Raw genomic sequence first — 17,227 nt, 5'->3', positions numbered from 1 at the left:
GTGATAAGGTTGGTAAAATCATTTGTACAGCACAATTCCTCCCCGAATGTTTTGCTATGCCTGGGCTGCAGGGACTTGCTGGCAGGACTTGTTTTGCATCCTGAAGAGCCAAGGAGGCATCAGAGCATAAGTCCTTTCACTTCTATCTGTTTGTCTGGAATGTAACTTGTGTTTGCACAGTAAATAAAATTGATCTTGAATAAAAACTGAGTGGTCATTCTCATTAATCTTTGGACCCAGATTAACTTTTTTGGTCATGCCTAGTCTAAGAGGGAAGAGATATTCTCATCAACAAGTACAGCGCCCAGCTATGTCAGTGTAGATATCAAATGTATATATAGTAGTATAGGGAAGAGTCAGAGGCCAGAAAGACTGGTAGGGCAGACGTTGAACTGAGGAGAGTGTGGTGTTTGCCTTTGCATCAACGGCGATCATGGAGTTATACTGAGGCTTGGGAACAGCACCTAACATACTAAGAAAACATTCTAAGAACATTTATGAACTGAGGAAACTTGAATTACTGTTGTTCTTTGGTTATGATTGTATTTATGGTTGTTACCTCATTCATATTAATAGTCGGTGTGCCTGAGTGTAATCATGAAGTTAGGTTTTTCCCAAATAGATGATTTTTGTTATTTGACTCAGCAATTCCCATAGACAAAAGTAATATCACTATCCTATTTTTACATTTCTGCTCTCAATTCTGCAAAGCCAAAATGCATAGTCCAGGATTCTGTGCAGTAAAGTGTGGCTTGTATTATCTAACTGGTGCATGAGGCCCACTGTAACAGTTTACTCCAGAGGAAATTGGCACCTGTAAATAACTGTAGTTAAATTGATCTCTTGATATCAGAAAAGTTTCTGCCATGCAGTTCGTTTTGATGATTTCTTAATATGTATCCTCATTTTAGACGGTACCAGTGGCCACGTACAAGCTGTACTTGGTAGCAGAATATTGCAGTTGGTAAACCTTGAATCTCTCTTTTAGTAGCAAGAGCGTTTAGAGTCTTGTGCTTTCTTGTGGATATCTTCTTAGCATCTACATTCCATCTCCTGTCTCCTAATTGTTACTGCTACTATTTCGATGAAAATTCCAATTTTCATTTAGAATACACATTTTTGTTATTTGTATCATTTTTTCACCCCGATTTCAGACTATTTTAACTTCAGAAAGGAAATTCACCACTATGTACATTTCCGTTTGGGCTCTTAGAGCTTGAGATGGTACAAGTAAGTACAAGCACATTTTCCATATAAGTCATATGAGGTGATTTGCATTTCATAATGTGATTTTGTCTGAATGAACTTGTGCATTATGACATCTCAAAGAGATGGCTGTAAAGGATTAAGAAGATCAAACAATGCAAAGTCATTTATTGCATGTACTTCAAAGCATTGCCGAGATAAAGCCAGATGGAGTCTTTCATTCCACTGGCTACTTATTTTCTTGCTGCAGTACCAAATACTGTCATTTAAAAAATAATGACTCTGGTTTTTCTAATTCATCCTTCATTGTGGATCATGCAAGTAAATAATTAATGAATGTATGTGTTTAGGTTATGGGGAGTTTAAAGCACAGCGTAAGAGTTGTAATGTTGATTGCTTTTAAATGTTGTAATGCTTTTGAGGGTGTCTCCTACTGACTCCTTAATTACATACTTGTTTTTCTTAGAAAATCAACTCATTTCATTATTAGTGATTTAATTTTCTCTTAAATATTTAACTTGGTATTTTAATAAATCACTATGCCTGGGATTCCATTAGATGTTTGGAAAGATTAAGTTGAATTTTTTACCCAAGTAACATATTAAAATGGCTCAAGATTTGTATTTTTTTGATTTCATAATTAAATAAAAAAACATGCATTAAACACCATGGAAATCCCAGCAACTTTAGCAAGAAAAGATCTTGGTTTGACTGATGACTTCTTTACTTGATAAATGTGTGAACTGCAATAAACAGAATATCTCAATCTCAGTTTTTGTTCCATGAGACTGGTTGAGTGAACATAAGCTTAGTGCTTTGAAAATTGTTTGGCCTATTGTAGAAGGTTGGTGTTTTAATTGACTAAAGAAAATTCATGTACTCTAAGAACATATATTTTCTGGAAAATGTGGTATTTCTCGGAAAACTGCTGAAATGAATTATGCATCTTTGCTATTTTCATGTTTATATTACTTTCAAAGATCTAAAGCTTTTGCTTGAAAGTTAATCTTTTGGTAAAATATATTGAAACTAGTGTTGAATTATATTTCGTTGGTGTAATGAATATGAAGATTGATCTGCTATAATCTCCTCGTGATCTTTTAAAATAGTTTTCTTTGTGCTTTTAAAAATAACACTATAATGGTCCATATACGTATTAGTTTTTACTATCCATTTGTTTAGTACTTTAGTATATACCAGGGTGCATGAAGACTCAATTACAGTCTGAATCAGCACAATGCAAATGGAAAGGTGAGCTTTTATCTTCCTCACAAAATTATATCTAATATAAACCTTATACAGGATTTTTAAGTGCATATAAATTAATGACAAAATTGTACATAATGTCATTGAAGGAGAAAAGTTAAGCATTTTGTAGCACAGTAAAATGCCTTTCTAAATTGACTTAGTATTGTTATGGAAAACAAACTTCTGAATATTGTATCAGAATTTATTACCACTCTTCAAGTCAAAATAGAAATGAATCTCTATACAATTTATTTGGGAATCAGAGAATTGTCATTTGGAACAAAGTTGCCAACCAGGGTGGTCTTTGATATATCAGACCCACAAAGAGAAGATTGGGAGTTTATTAGAAACAGAAATGTTACATATTGTTTTGAAAGAAAGCTCACTGACACTAGAGAAGATTTTGGGAGCTGGTAAGCTTTGGTGAGTGACAGCAGTAGGTAAAACCAGTGTTAGAGTCACAGCAGGTCACTTCAGTAGCTACTAGGTAGATTTGGTCTTAGGGATACAGCAGGCTGCTTCAGCAGCTGGGCTTGCTGAAGATTCAGTTATTGGAGCTGGTGGTATATATGCCTGAGTGCTTTTTCTCCCTGACTTATTGACTATGACTTACTTGGGTACGAAAAAATGGCACAACTGATTCAGGATTTTTCTTGTCCCCTTCTTCAGACTCATGACAGGGACAAACTTTTACTTGTCTCGCTTCACTCAACCCCTTGCAGGAGGGAGCACATCAGCAAATGTGTGTGGGATCTGGCCAGCCACTCCAGGATCCAGCAGGAGCAAGCTTCATGTGGGGCTGATGGCCAGATCAGGCATGAGTTAGTGAGTGCAGGATCCAGCTGGCAGCTCTGGGCACCAGCAGGAGCAAGATCTGTGTGGAACCCATGGCTAGAACCAGAGGGAGTATTCCATTACTCTCCTAACTCCACTGTCTGCAGACTAACAGCTCAGTTGACCCCTTGCCACATCACCTGGGGAGGCTGCCCTCTGCCAGTGACCATGAATAGTTGGTGTGATAGCATTTTTGGGTACCCACAGTCAATGTGTCCTGAGCTCTTGTTCGATGTCCAAGGATAATGAGGTGGCATGGGATTCTCAAAGGGTGGTAATGGGGGAGAATTTTGTTGAGTGGTGGAAATGGTTTTCAGTGGAGAGGGCAGCTGGAGAAGGGGGCAGGTGGGGTAAGTAGTGTTCCCCAAAGTCAGGTCATCTTCTCCTTAAAGTCCAGTCACCACTTCCTCAAAGTTAAATCATCCCTCTTCCCCAGAGTCCAGGTGTCTCTCCTCTGAAGTCAAGCTGTCTCTTCCCTCTACCAAGTGAGTCTGGGGTCTTTATAGGCAAAGGATAGGTGTGGGTTAGGCCTTAGGTAGTTTTGGAAAAGGCAACATTCGATTAGTAAAAATACATTGTTTAGAATGAACCAACTGGGAGAGAGAAGGCAAAGAGGAATAGAAGTTACCACTTTGGGCTGCGAGTTTCAGGCTACTTTGGCTTGAAGGTGGAGTTTTACTGGGGACCCGTCCTAATCTGCCTAGGCATTTGTCTACCTCCTGCCACTCTCACAATTAATATAATCACCTTTCACATTTCTCCCTTTGGATCAAGATATTTCTCTGAAAGCATCACCACTGAGCAACTGTCTTGAAGTCAAGCTTAATTGGCCTTAGGTGCTGAGATGGACCTATCCTAGTGGTCTCTGGTCCTACATCAGGGGAAAGTAATGGAGTCAGTGAAGCGTCTTGGGCCAAATTTGAGTAACAAAGAGGCCAGAAGGAAATTTTTTTCAGAGCAGGTTTGTTTGGAATCCAGCGTTGAGTTTTATTAGTCCCACAGGTATTAACAGTCATTTCAAAACTTTGATCTAAGAGCTGGCTTCATTTATTTTATTTTATTTCATTATTATTATACTTTAAGTTTTAGGGTACATGTGCCCAATATGCCGGTTAGTTACATATGTATACATGTGCCATGCGGGTGTGCTGCACCCATTAACTCGTCATTTAGCATTAGGTATATCTCCTAAAGCTATCCCTCCCCCATCCCCCCACCCCACAACAGTCCCCATAGTGTGATGTTCCCCTTCCTGTGTCCATGTGTTCTCATTTTTCAATTCCCACCTGTGAGTGAGAATATGTGGTGTTTGGTTTTTTGTTCTTACGATAGTTTACTGAGAATGATGATTTCCAATTTCATCCATGTTCCTACAAAGGACATGAACTCATCATTTTTTATGGCTGCATAGTATTCCATGGTGTATATGTGCCACATTTTCTTGATCCAGTCTATCATTGTTGGACATTTGGATTGGTTCCAAGTCTTTGCTATGGTGAATAGTGCCGCAATAAACATACGTGTGCATGTGTCTTTATAGCAGCATGATTTATAGCCCTTTGGGTATATACCCAGTAATGGAAAGGCTGGGATAAATGGTATTTCTAGTTCTAGATCCCTGAGGAATCGCCACACTGACTTCCACAATGGTTGAACTAGTTTACAGTCCCACCAACAGTGTAAAAGTGTTCCTATTTCTCCACAACCTCTCCAGCACCTGTTGTTTCCTGACTTTTTAATGATCGCCATTCTAACTAGTGTGAGATGGTATCTCATTGTGGTTTTGATTTGCATTTCTCTGATGGCCAGTGATGATGAGCATTTTTTCATGTGTCTTTTGGCTGCATAAATGTCTTCTTTTGAGAAGCGTCTGTTCATATCCTTCACCCACTTTTTGATGGGGTTGTTTGTTTGTTTCTTGTAAATTTGTTTGAGTTCATTGTAGATTCTGGATATTAGCCCTTTGTCAGATGAGTAGGTTGCAAAAATTTTCTCCCATTCTGTAGGTTGCCTGTTCACTCTGATGTTAGTTTCTTTTGCTGTGCAGAAGCTCTTTAGTTTAATTAGATCCCATTTGTCAATTTTGTCTTTTGTTGCCATGGCTTTTGGTGTTTTAGACATGAAGTCCTTGCCTATGCCTATGTCCTGAATGGTAATGCCTAGGTTTTCTTCTAGGATTTTTATGGTTTTAGGTCTAACGTTTCAGTCTTTAATCCATCTTGAATTAATTTTTATATAAGGTGTAAGGAAGGGATCCAGTTTCAGCTTTCTACATATGGCTAGCCAGTTTTCCCAGCACCATTTCTTAAATAGGAAATCCTTTCCCCATTGCTTGTTTTTCTCAGGTTTGTCAAAGATCAGATAGTTGTAGATATGCGGTGTTATTTCTGAGGGCTCTGTTCTGTTCCATTGATCTATATCTCTGTTTTGGTACCAGTACCATGCTGTTTTGGTTACTGTAGCCTTGTAGTATAGTTTGAAGTCAGGTAGTGTGATGCCTCCAGCTTTGTCCTTTTGGCTTAGGATTGACTTGGCGATGCGGGCTCTTTTTTGGTTCCATATGAACTTTAAAGTCGTTTTTTCCAATTCTGTGAAGAAAGTCACTGGTAGCTTGATGGGGATGGCATTGAATCTATAAATTACCTTGGGCAGTATGGCCATTTTCACAATATTGATTCTTCCTACCCATGAGCATGGAATATTCTTCCATTTGTTTCTATCGTCTTTTATTTCCTTGAGCAGTGGTTTGTGGTTCTCCTTGAAGAGGTCCTTCATGTCCCTTGTAAGTTGGATTCCTAGGTATTTTATTTTCTTTGAAGCAATTGTGAATGGGAGTTCACTCATGATTTGGCTCTCTGTTTGGCTGTTATTGGTTTATAAGAATGCTTGTGATTTTTGTACATTGATTTTGTATCCTGAGACTTTGCTGAAGTTGCTTATCAGCTTAAGGAGATTTTGGGCTGAGACGATGGGGTTTTCTAGATATACAATCATGTCATCTGCAAACAGGCTTCATTAAGATTAGACAGACAATAATAACAGAGCTTAAAGATAATGATACAAAAAATAATTAACAACAATAAAACAAATTTAGTTTGTGCAGTGGCTTTGAATGAAGAGCCAAAACCTAAGGTCAATCAATGAAACAAATCAGAAGATGTTGGAGAAACTGGGTGAGACTTACTGTAGTCATTAACTAGCATTTTATCACTGAGATCACTGGGTTGGATTAAAGCAGAAAGTATCAACTCTATATAAGGGACCATTAGCATAATTTGAACAAAACTTTGTTACATATTGTCAAACTTACCCACCAGGTGAATTTAATTTTATTTTAGTGTCAGGTACTGTCAAGTAAGAAACATAGGCATTAAGAAGGGTGTATTAGTTTGTTTTCATGCTGCTATTAAAGACATACCTGATACTGGGTAATTTATAAAGAAAAAGAGACTTAATGGACTCACAGTTCCACATGGCTGAAGAGGCTTCACAATCATGGTGGAAGGTAAAGGAGGAGCAAAGTCACTTCTTACATGGCAGCAGGCAAGAGAGTGTGTGCAAGGGAACTCCCTTTTATAAAACCATCAGATCTCATGATACTTATTCATTATCACGAGAATATCACGGGCAAGACCGGATCTCATGATTCAATTACCTGCCACCAGGTACCTCCCATGACACATGGGAATTTTGTGAGCTACAATCTGAGATTTGGGTAGTGACACAGCCAAACCATATCAAGGGGGAAGAGTTTTATTATGAAGTTTCAGTGATCTCAGGAAAAGCTATTTATAGCATGAAGTCAGCAATTTGTAATTCGAATGTCTCTGGTTATGGCCTTGGGCAGTTTACTCAGTGTTATCCCCAGCAGGGGAATGTATGGCTTTCAGAAAAAGTAAGAGAATATGAAATGGCCTGGTTACATAGAACAATTTAGATACGTCAGAAAAGCCAAGAGTAAAGAATTACATCATACTGGAAAAACATTTTTCTCCCAGGCCTTTAAGACAAACATTCTCAGTGTCAGGTCAGAATACCAGAGTCAGAGGTGGGGTTAAAAAAAGCTATAGAAACTGACAAAAAAGTTAAAGGAGAAAGTCACCACTTGAGTTAAGCAAAATGATGTACCGTTTTAAGGAGAGAAGTAAGAAGAGCACAAGTCATTGATGTATTAACTGCAAATTACATGTGGTGAGATGCGTACAAAGCCAAACCCTTGAGATATGAATCTGAAAAGCCTTGAGAGGAGAACTCTAACTCCAGAAATGAAATGATCATTTTATCTTTTATTTTATTTTGTTTTATTTTTGAGATGGGGTCTTGCTCTATCACCAGGCTGGAGTGCAGTGACGTGATCTTGGCTTACTGCAACCTCCACCTCCCAGGTTCAAGTGATGTTCCTGCCTTAGCCTCCTGAGTAGTTGGGATTACCCGTGCGTGCCACCACGCCCAACTAATTTTTGTATTTTCAGTAGAGACGGGGTTTCACCATGTTGGACAGGATGGCCTCAATCTCTTGACCTCGTGATCCACCTGTCTTGGCCTCCCAAAGTGCTGGGATTACGGGCGTGAGCCACTGTCCCCGGCCAAAATGATTGTTTTAAATGAAGGAGACAGCACCTACAACTGGAAATTAGGTAGAAACTAAAAAGAGGAAAATCTGTAATTTGGGAGATGATTTAAAGTTTACAGAAACAAGTTTTCAAATTAAAATAAAAACTGATTGTAAATTTTTTACTAAGAGCAGATGAATATTGGAAGAAAATCTTGGAGTTTTAAGCATAGAGGACCAGACTTCGGTCCTGTATCAGTGCACCCCTGAAGTGACTGCTTAATTTTTAGAAAAAAATGATAAATCATACTTCTTCAATCTCAGTCAACGCAATCACACACAAAACCCCCTTTTCAAAGCCTATCCTTCATAAAGTCTCCATGACTTTCTTAGACTTACTAACAGGAGATCTAATGAAATTTACGTAAACCCCTAGTCTTACTCATGTATGTGTGTGCGTGTGTGTGTGTGTGTGTGTACATATATGTACACATATATGTATGTATATATGCATGTGTATACACATATATACATATACGTGTATACGTATGTATATACATATATACATATACGTGTATACGTATGTATATACATATATACATATACGTGTATACGTATGTATATACATATATACATATACGTGTATACGTATGTATATACATACAGACACATATATACATGTATATGAACAATCATTTTGCCTTTATATTTTTGGACAATTATTTAACAATTTTAACAATTACACATAGGTGACTTATGAAAATAGAGATATTAGATGAAGCTAGTGATGATTTTATTTTTCTCTTAAAATAAAATAAAAACCTAAGAGTTAAATTGTTGTGGTAAACACACAGGAAACGATGGAAACTTCATTGTGTTCTGGCCAACAAACCCAGGCGGAAAAAAGTGTGACAAAATGTAATAATGTTGAAGACCACTTTATTTTTGTTTTATCACCAAATTCAAAATTAACTTATTTATCTAAGATTTCCTTAAGCTACATGAACAAAGAAGTGAATTATTTAGCATATTTTTAAGAAAATATTTTGTTGAAGCACTTAATTTTTCCCAAGTCAAATAGAGCTCTTTTATATCTTTTGATAGAAAAATATCATATATCTATGACATATAGGCAAAAAATTTTAAAAAATTCTTGGGCAAACAAAAACAAACACCTTGTAGTTTTTATCAAAAAATGAGACATGAGTAAAATAAAGTAATATACATTCACTGGCTTATAAGAACACAGTTGGACCTAAATCATATTTATGGCAAAATGCAACAAGGCTAAATGTTTTTAAGGTTAAATTTATGAGGCTAATTTTTTTTTTTAGTTAAAATTTTTTTTGTCCCTAATATGTAATCTCAAGAAGTCCGTGAACCAAATATTAGGGAAAGCAGTTTAAGTCAGTTACCAATATAATGGATTGGACACAGAATAGTTAACTGTGAAAATGTGACTGAATTATGTGAGGAGGCCCAAAAGATGAGAAAGCAGTGTTTCATCATTAAGCATAATATAAGTTCCAGGCTTCCTATAGATACTGTTTATCATGGTAAGGTAGTTCCCCTCAATTTCTGTTTCCTAAGAGTTATTACCACAAATTTGTGTTAATTTGTCAATTTTATTCTCTATCAGTTCATATGATAATGTAATTTTTCTTCTTTGGTTTATACTACGGATTATATTGATTGATTTTTTTAATATGGAGCTAAGCTTGCATTCATGGAAACCTCCCTGTTTATTAATGGTGAATGTCTTTTATATATTACGAATTCCCTTTGCTAATATTTTGGGAAAGATTGTTGGGTCTGTACTTATGAGGAATATTGATATGTGTTTTCTGTTTTTGTACTGTCTTGGTCTGATTTTGGCATCTGAGTAATATTAAATTTATAAAATTGGGGAATGTTTACTCTTGTATTTTCTAGTAGAAATTGTGTAAAATTTGTTAATTGTTTTAATGTTTGATAGAAATTTCCAGAAAATCCATGAGGAGATATATATATATATATATATTTCTTTCTTCTATATATTTTCTTTAATCAAGGGACTGTTAGCAACAATACCAAGCCAAAAACTCCTAAAAATATAATAAAAAGTCCTAATGATCTTACAAAAAATCCTAAGTCAGTATTTTTAAATGCATTTTCTTACTACAAATAATTCTTCCCTTTAACAAATGTATCACGGTCAAAGGCAGAGCCCATAGGGGAATCGAATCTTTTCCTCCTTGATGTTATCAAGAAGCTAATATTGCCACTAGGCAGGGTTAGTACTTGGCATCTGTAATAAACCTTTGCAGAGGAAGCTTCGTGAAAGATCCTGCATTATAATCATCTCATGTCTTCAAAGATTTACAAAAATTATTTTTGAATTCTAAAGGTGTTTTAAAAAGGAAAACAGAATACTTCTCTTACAAGATCATTATAATATACTCTCTGTCATTTAAAAGAATGTTATTTTCCTTGAAAATGACAGGCTAATAGGGCTTTGAGTCGAAGAATATGATGTTAAGGTATAATTAAAATTATCATGGTTTTCTATTTATTAATTAATATAATGTTACAGTGATATTTTAAGCTATTTCTCAGATTTAAAAAAATTAAAATTAAGTATTACTGAAAAATCTTATTTTAGCCTCATGAAATATCTGATGGGATACTGGTTTACATTTTAATACAAAATTTATCCAAATTATTCAACAGTAATTTCCATTACAAATCAATTTTTCTTTCCTAATTCCCTCTAGGAACACTTTTTATGCTTTTTCATGGTGTTTGACTCCATAGGTTCTCCAAGCATGTACAAGTCTAGAATAGAATTGAATAGAGAGAGCCACAGTTATTGAACTCTTCAGTTAGTAAGGCATAATATTAATTTTCTCTCCCTAGAAAATTAATAATAAGTATCATAATTTGGGTGTGAAAACAAAGAGTGAATTATGACGTCTAAGACCAACATGTCTAAAGATTTCCATTTCAGAAAATGTGTGTAATACTTATAATTTGTGATAAATACACTCTATTGACCTTTTTCTTCTAAAATTATGAATATATAAAATAAGAGAATTCCATGATTCCTTTTAGAACTTAATCATCTAGAACTGATTCTTAGTGATTAAGCAGGTATAAACTTCTCATCCACCTTATTTTTACAACATGCTAAAGTTTGAAATTAACAGCTATTGTGTTCCTTTAGAATCTTTGGTAATATTATTCAGCGTTGGCTCTAAAATACCCATCAATTATATGATAGGAAAGATTTATTTACCATGCGTAACCATTTGAGAAAGTAGTTTATGGCTTAATGATTCTAAATTACAATGCTCATAAAATTTCTCGGAGGCTATTTGAATAAATTCTAGATTTTATATGCCAAACTATTTACAACACAAATCGGTAATCATCTAGCTTTACATCTATGAAATAGGTCAGTGATTTTTGAGATATTACTTCATATGATATTATACAAAAGCCACAAATCCTTATATTAAAATTATAAATTTTTATTAAATGCATGAAATGTTGAATGCACAAAATGTAAAAATAAAATTACACTTATTTTTAGTCAGGCAACAATAAAAATTTTAATACAATATTATATGAAATATAAATTTTTATTTATCAATTCTAAACATGATGGTCTCAGGTCCCTTTTGAAGTCTTTAATGTTATTGAGGATTCTGAAGAACTTTTGCTTATGCTCTTTGATATTTATTAAAAATTAAAACAGAAAATTTTTCTTTGTTGAAAAATAATAGTAAACCCAGTAAATACTAACATAAATAACCTATTTTATGAAAAATGTATTGCTTGAAAATATTGACTCAGAAGAACGTTACTGTTTTTCAGTTTGCAGATTTCTTTAATGTATGCTTAATAGATGACACATTTGTTTCTATTGCAATATGATGTTTTGTTTGAAGTGTTTGAAGAAAGTTGGAAAAGGAAGGAATGGCTTTCAGATAATTGTGGATATTCTGTGATACTACAGCAAAACTTGACAAGTGGTAATTTATTAAAGTTTTCTTTCAATGTGGTATAAGAAATTATTTCATTAAATATTTTCGAATTGGTTTCGTTAAAATCCGTTGGTCTGTCTTGCTTTTCTGCCAGATCCATTGCATAATCATGATTTTGTAATCCTATTCACTGGAAATTTTAAAAATTTTGTAAATATCAGTGTTCCGAGTCATGCAGAATTTCCAAATGTTGACAAATTCTATTTTATAATATAAAAATCACATGCTAATATCACCAAAAGTCTCATTTGAAAAGTATTTTAATTCTGGGAGTCTAACCCGCTCCTGGTAAAGGATGAATCTATTTCAAAATTCTGGCTTTTGCTTAAAAGTTTGGATTTTCATCTTCATCAACAAATACTGCCAGTTTTTGAGCTCAAAGGGAAAAGCTTTATTTCTTTAGAAAATTTCTAATAAAATCCCAAGCCTGAATAACCATATTTTGTCAGTTTTCCAACAAAGAAGTGGTGAGTTCAGGTTTCAGCTAAATCACACAAGTGCTTTTCCTCTAAACCACCAATGTACTAAAGCAGAAATGCTTTGCAAATATTCCATACTTGTCATTAAAAAACAGGTGTACTCAGAGGTCAAGATTTAATGAAATTAGTAACTGTTACTGCAGTGCGAATGACAGTCTAAAGAGAAACACTTCATCTTGCAGGATCCTAACAGTGAAGAATGTAATGGCTACTAGGACGGTTAGTGCTTGTGCCTTTGGTACTGCCAGCATTGCTTTTGCACCATCCGTGCAAATGACAACTCAAGTAAAAGATAAATATGGTCTTACTACCACTATAAAAATAATTTTGACCTCACAAATCCCTTAAAAGTGTCTTAAAAGTGTATGGCCCACACTTTGCATACAGTGGGCTAGATTATCCTGAATGTATTGTTATTAATTTTGGAGAAGATTGCTAACTCAGAAAAAAATAAAGTTCATGCGAAGAACAAAGAACACAAACCTTAAATTTCACTACTTTTAATATGCGCTGAATATTATTCTTCGCTCTTACAGATCTGTCCTCTCCTTTCTCCTCCCTGCTCTGTGATTCAAGAGGCTCATCGCCAGGGTCTGTGCCACGAGTTCCGTGGCTCATTGGCTTCCAGTGGATTTGGCCAATAGGAACACTGGCAAGAGGTCGGGGCAGAGGATCGAAACATCACGGTGTTTATTCTCTCGCTCCCTTCCTGCTAGACAGAAGTTTGACATCCACTGCATTTCTCTATCCAACGCCACATCTCTCATCATGGCTATAGGTCAGGGTTAGGAGAAATAATACCTGCTTAGTAATCCTACTTCCTTTATGTTTCCCCATACCTAGCTGGTCCTAGGAGCATTGAAACACTTTTGGCAATTTTCCTTTCATTATTCTTTGTTCAGTTACCCTTTGGAGTGTACTACATGCTCCCAACAGGATACATATTTATAACAATAAACTGAAGCCTTTTTATGTTGGCTAGAGCATGGGCTAGCCCTGTTAAATAAATACGATGATTGAGTATTGTGTAGCACATCAATGAGTTAACAAGTTCACGTATTTGCAGTTTAGTCATATGTGTATTTCATTAATCATATTCAAATGTCTACTTTGAGATTTATAAAACACTTCACCATATTCCAGCATCTAATGCCAGTCTTTTGAATGTTTAGTATCATAAAGAATACTTTTGAATCTGTACATATATATTATAGTATTGTAGATATAGGCCATGCTATCTTTGTGCTGACTTACTATCGTGGCTCAGAAGTTGCTTTATTGAAAAAATTTCCATTGATCTCACTTTAACATAAGTATATGATCGCATGATTGGGGTAAAGGGATATAAGAACAAACAGGAGTGAAAAAAATTCAAGAGAAGGGAGCCATGTGTGTAAACAATTAAAACTAATGCTATGTGACTATTGCTTCAGTTGCACAAGTGCTTGGGAGATCAAAGACTGGAACAATAGATTCTGCTAAGACTATGGGATTATTGAAATGAACCCTAAATGATGATTGGGATTTTAATAGGTGAACAAAGGAGTGAGGAGATGTTGAACATTCAAGGCAAAGGGAACATCATGAATAATATAATGGCAATATGCAAGATATTAAATTTAACCGTTTTACAGTTTGCCTGAGAATCCATATCGGTGGTGATTGCAGCTGCAGCGTTTGCCCTGAGATAACTTTGTCACAAAATATCACGCTTTTATTAATATTTTTGCATTGCTCTAGTATATCGACTTTGAGGGCAAAATACATCATTCTAATTATAGCATTCTGGTTTTAGTATTAACAAAATTGGTAATTATTTTTTTAAATAATGAACACAAATTTATTTCTTACCATTTTGGAGGCTGAGAAGTCTAAGATCAACTCCCCAAAAGATGTGGTGTCTGGTGAGGACTTGCTCTCCACTTGAGTGCAGTGGCACGATCACAGCTCACTACATGTAGCCTTGACCTCCTAGGCTCAAGCGATTGTCCTACCTCAGGCTCCATAGTAGCTGGGACTGCAGGCATGCGTTACCGTGCCTAGCTAACTAACAGTGACCAAGCTGAGAATCAAGAACTCAACTTCTTTTACAATAGCTGTTGCAAAAAAAATTAAAATATTTGGAACTATACCTAGCCAAGGAGGTAAAAGACCCCTACAAGGAATACTACAAAACACTGCTGAAAGACATCATAGATGACACAAACAAATTGAAACACATCCTATTCTCATGGGTGGGTAGAATCAATATTGTGAAAATGACCACACTGCCAAAAGCAATCTACAGATTCAATGCAATTGCCATCAAAATACCACTACCATTCTTCACACAATTAGGAAAAGCAATCCTAAAATTCATATGGAACCCAAAAACAGCCGACATGGTCTAAGCAAGACTAAACAAAAAGAACAAATCTGGAGGCATCCCATTACCTGATTTCAAATGATACTATAAGGCCACAGTCACCCAAAGAGCATAGTGCTAGTATAAACATAGGCACATAGACCAATGGATCAGAATACAGAACCCAGAAATAAACCCAAATGCTTACAGCCAACTGATCTTTGACAAAGCAAACAAAACATGAAGTGGAGAAAGGACACCCTATTCAACAAATGGTGCTGGGATCATTGGCAAGCCACATGTAGGAGAATGAAACTGGGTCCTCATCTCTCAGCTTATGCAAAAATCAACTCAAGATGGATTAAGGACTTAAATCTAAGACCTAAAACTATAAAAATTCTATAACATAACATCGGAAAAACCCTTCTACACATTGGCTTAGGCAAGGATTTCATGACCAAGAACCCAAAATCAAATGCAGTAAAAATAAAAATAAATAGCTGGGACTTAAACGAAAGAGCTTTTGCATGGTAAAATATAGTAATTCTTGATCACTGAAAATGTCAACTCTTAGAAAATGTAGCATTCCTATGGGTGACATTAACATCATTCTCAAACAGTTGTTGCCTGAAGATTCATTTGATGAATCCAGTGTTTTCCAAAACGGACATTTCAGTTTATTCAGACAATTCTGATGTTAGTACTGCTTAGAAATAATTCCAAGAACAATGTTTATATTTTATTTTCACATTGAAAATCAGATTTGCTTCACCCTCAGAGAGCGTGTTTATGTAAAATTATGTGAGCATTGGCAACAAGCTGCACCTTTTTTATTTTTTTTTCTAAATAGGAAAAGGGTTAAGTGAATTATCCATCAAGAAATTAGATGCAATGATGGAAGATCATAATGGCAGATTAGTTTGGGGCCTTGGTCAACTCATTTTGTAAGTTACATTTCTACCTGTTGTTAAAGTGAAGTTTTCCAGATATCTCAGCACAGTAGAGTTGATGATTTTTTCCTTTTTCTCACCAATATGCATTGCATATAACCTAGTTTTAGTTCTTACCAAATGATTGCAATAAACAATTCATTGTGGTGGTTCCTACTGAAAGGCAAAGTATCTTAATTATCCGTATATCACTAATATCTAGCACAGAGTGGACACTTAATCACTACAGGTGTTAAACGGACAAGTAATAAAACAATTGTATTGTTTAAATGTTATCTTTATTCAGATTGCAGGCAAACTTTGGGCAGCTGCAACTTTTTTGCAGTTGCTTAATCCCAGGTAGCATTTCCCAATAAAATGTTAATATTTTTGTTGCATACTAATTGTAATAAGAATAACTGCAATTTTATTTTCCACATATGTAACATGTTTGTGAAATTCCTTTATTTATACTTGAAGAAAGCCATATATTTTTTGTTTGTTGTTTGCTTTTCATTTTTAAGTTTGAGAAACAATGTTTTTTTTCTTTAGTTTTGTTTTGTTTCCATAGGTTATTGGAGAACAGGTGGTGTTTGGTTACATGAGTAAGCTTTTTTTTTTTTTTTTTTTTTTTTTTTTGGAGACACAGTCTCACTCTTTTGCCCAGGCTGGAGTGCAGTAGCACGATCTTGGCTTACTGCAACCTCCTCCTCCTGGGTTCAAGTGATTCTCCTGCCTCAGCCTCCCAAGTAGCTGGGACTGCAGTTGCCCTCCACCACGCCTGGCTAATTTTTGTATTTTTAGCAGAAATAGAGTTTCACCACGTTGGCCAGGCTGGTCTCGAACTCCCGACCTCAGGTGATCGGCCCGCCTCAGCCTCCCAAAGTGCTGGGATTACAGGCGTGAGCCAATGCGCCCTGCTGTAAGTTCTTTAGTAGGGATTTGTGAGATTTTGGTGCACCCATCACCCGAGCAGTATACACTGCACTCAATTTGCAGTATCCCTCACCCCCTTCTCACCCTTTACCCTGAGTCCCCAAAGTCCATTGTGTCATACTTATGCCTTTGCATATGCATAGCTTAGTTCCCATTTATGAATGAGAGCATAGGTTGTTTAGTTTTCCATTCCTGAGTTACTTCACTTAGAGTTATAGTCTCCAGTCTCATCGAGGTCACTGCAAATGCCATTATTTCATTCCTTTTTATGGCTAAGTAGTATTCCATCATATGTATGTACCACAGTTTCTTTATCTATTTGTTGATCGATGGGCATTTGGGTTTTTCCACATTTTTGCAATTGCGAATTGTGCTACTATAAACATCTCTGTGCAAGTATCTTTTTGTATAATGACATATTTTCCTCTGGGTAGATACCCAGTAGTGGGATTGCTGGATCAAATGGTAGTTCTACTTTTAGTTCTTCAAAGAATCTCCACAGTGTTTTCCGTAGTGGTTATATTAGTTTACATTCCCACCAGCAGGGTAGAAGTGTTCCCTGTTCACCACATCCATACCAGCATCTATTATTTTTTTTAATTTTTGGATTATAGCCATTCTTGCAAGAGTAAGGTGATATCGCATTGTGGTTTGATTTGCATTTCCCAGATCAT

General features: G+C 35.7%; 1 protein-coding gene across 4 annotated transcripts in view, besides 1 other annotated feature; it reads left to right on the top strand.

The window, feature by feature from the left end:
* SGCZ (sarcoglycan zeta) overlaps positions 1-17,227 on the top strand; it is a 1,153,587-nt gene that overhangs the window by 789,261 nt on the left and 347,099 nt on the right. The gene's annotated exons all lie outside the window — the stretch shown is intronic.
* Positions 16,331-16,500: an enhancer, noted in NCBI's record as "experimental_102166 CRE fragment used in MPRA reporter constructs". NCBI's record gives its function as "activates a minimal promoter by MPRAs in K562 erythroleukemia cells, with activity observed for both the introgressed and non-introgressed 8:14290265 variant alleles {active_cell/tissue: K562}" and the evidence as "EXISTENCE:reporter gene assay evidence [ECO:0000049][PMID:34662402]".

Source organism: Homo sapiens, chromosome 8 (assembly GCF_000001405.40).
Source record: "Homo sapiens chromosome 8, GRCh38.p14 Primary Assembly".
In the NCBI taxonomy this organism is placed as follows: domain Eukaryota; kingdom Metazoa; phylum Chordata; class Mammalia; order Primates; family Hominidae; genus Homo; species Homo sapiens.
This window is presented reverse-complemented; position numbering and strand designations above follow the sequence as displayed.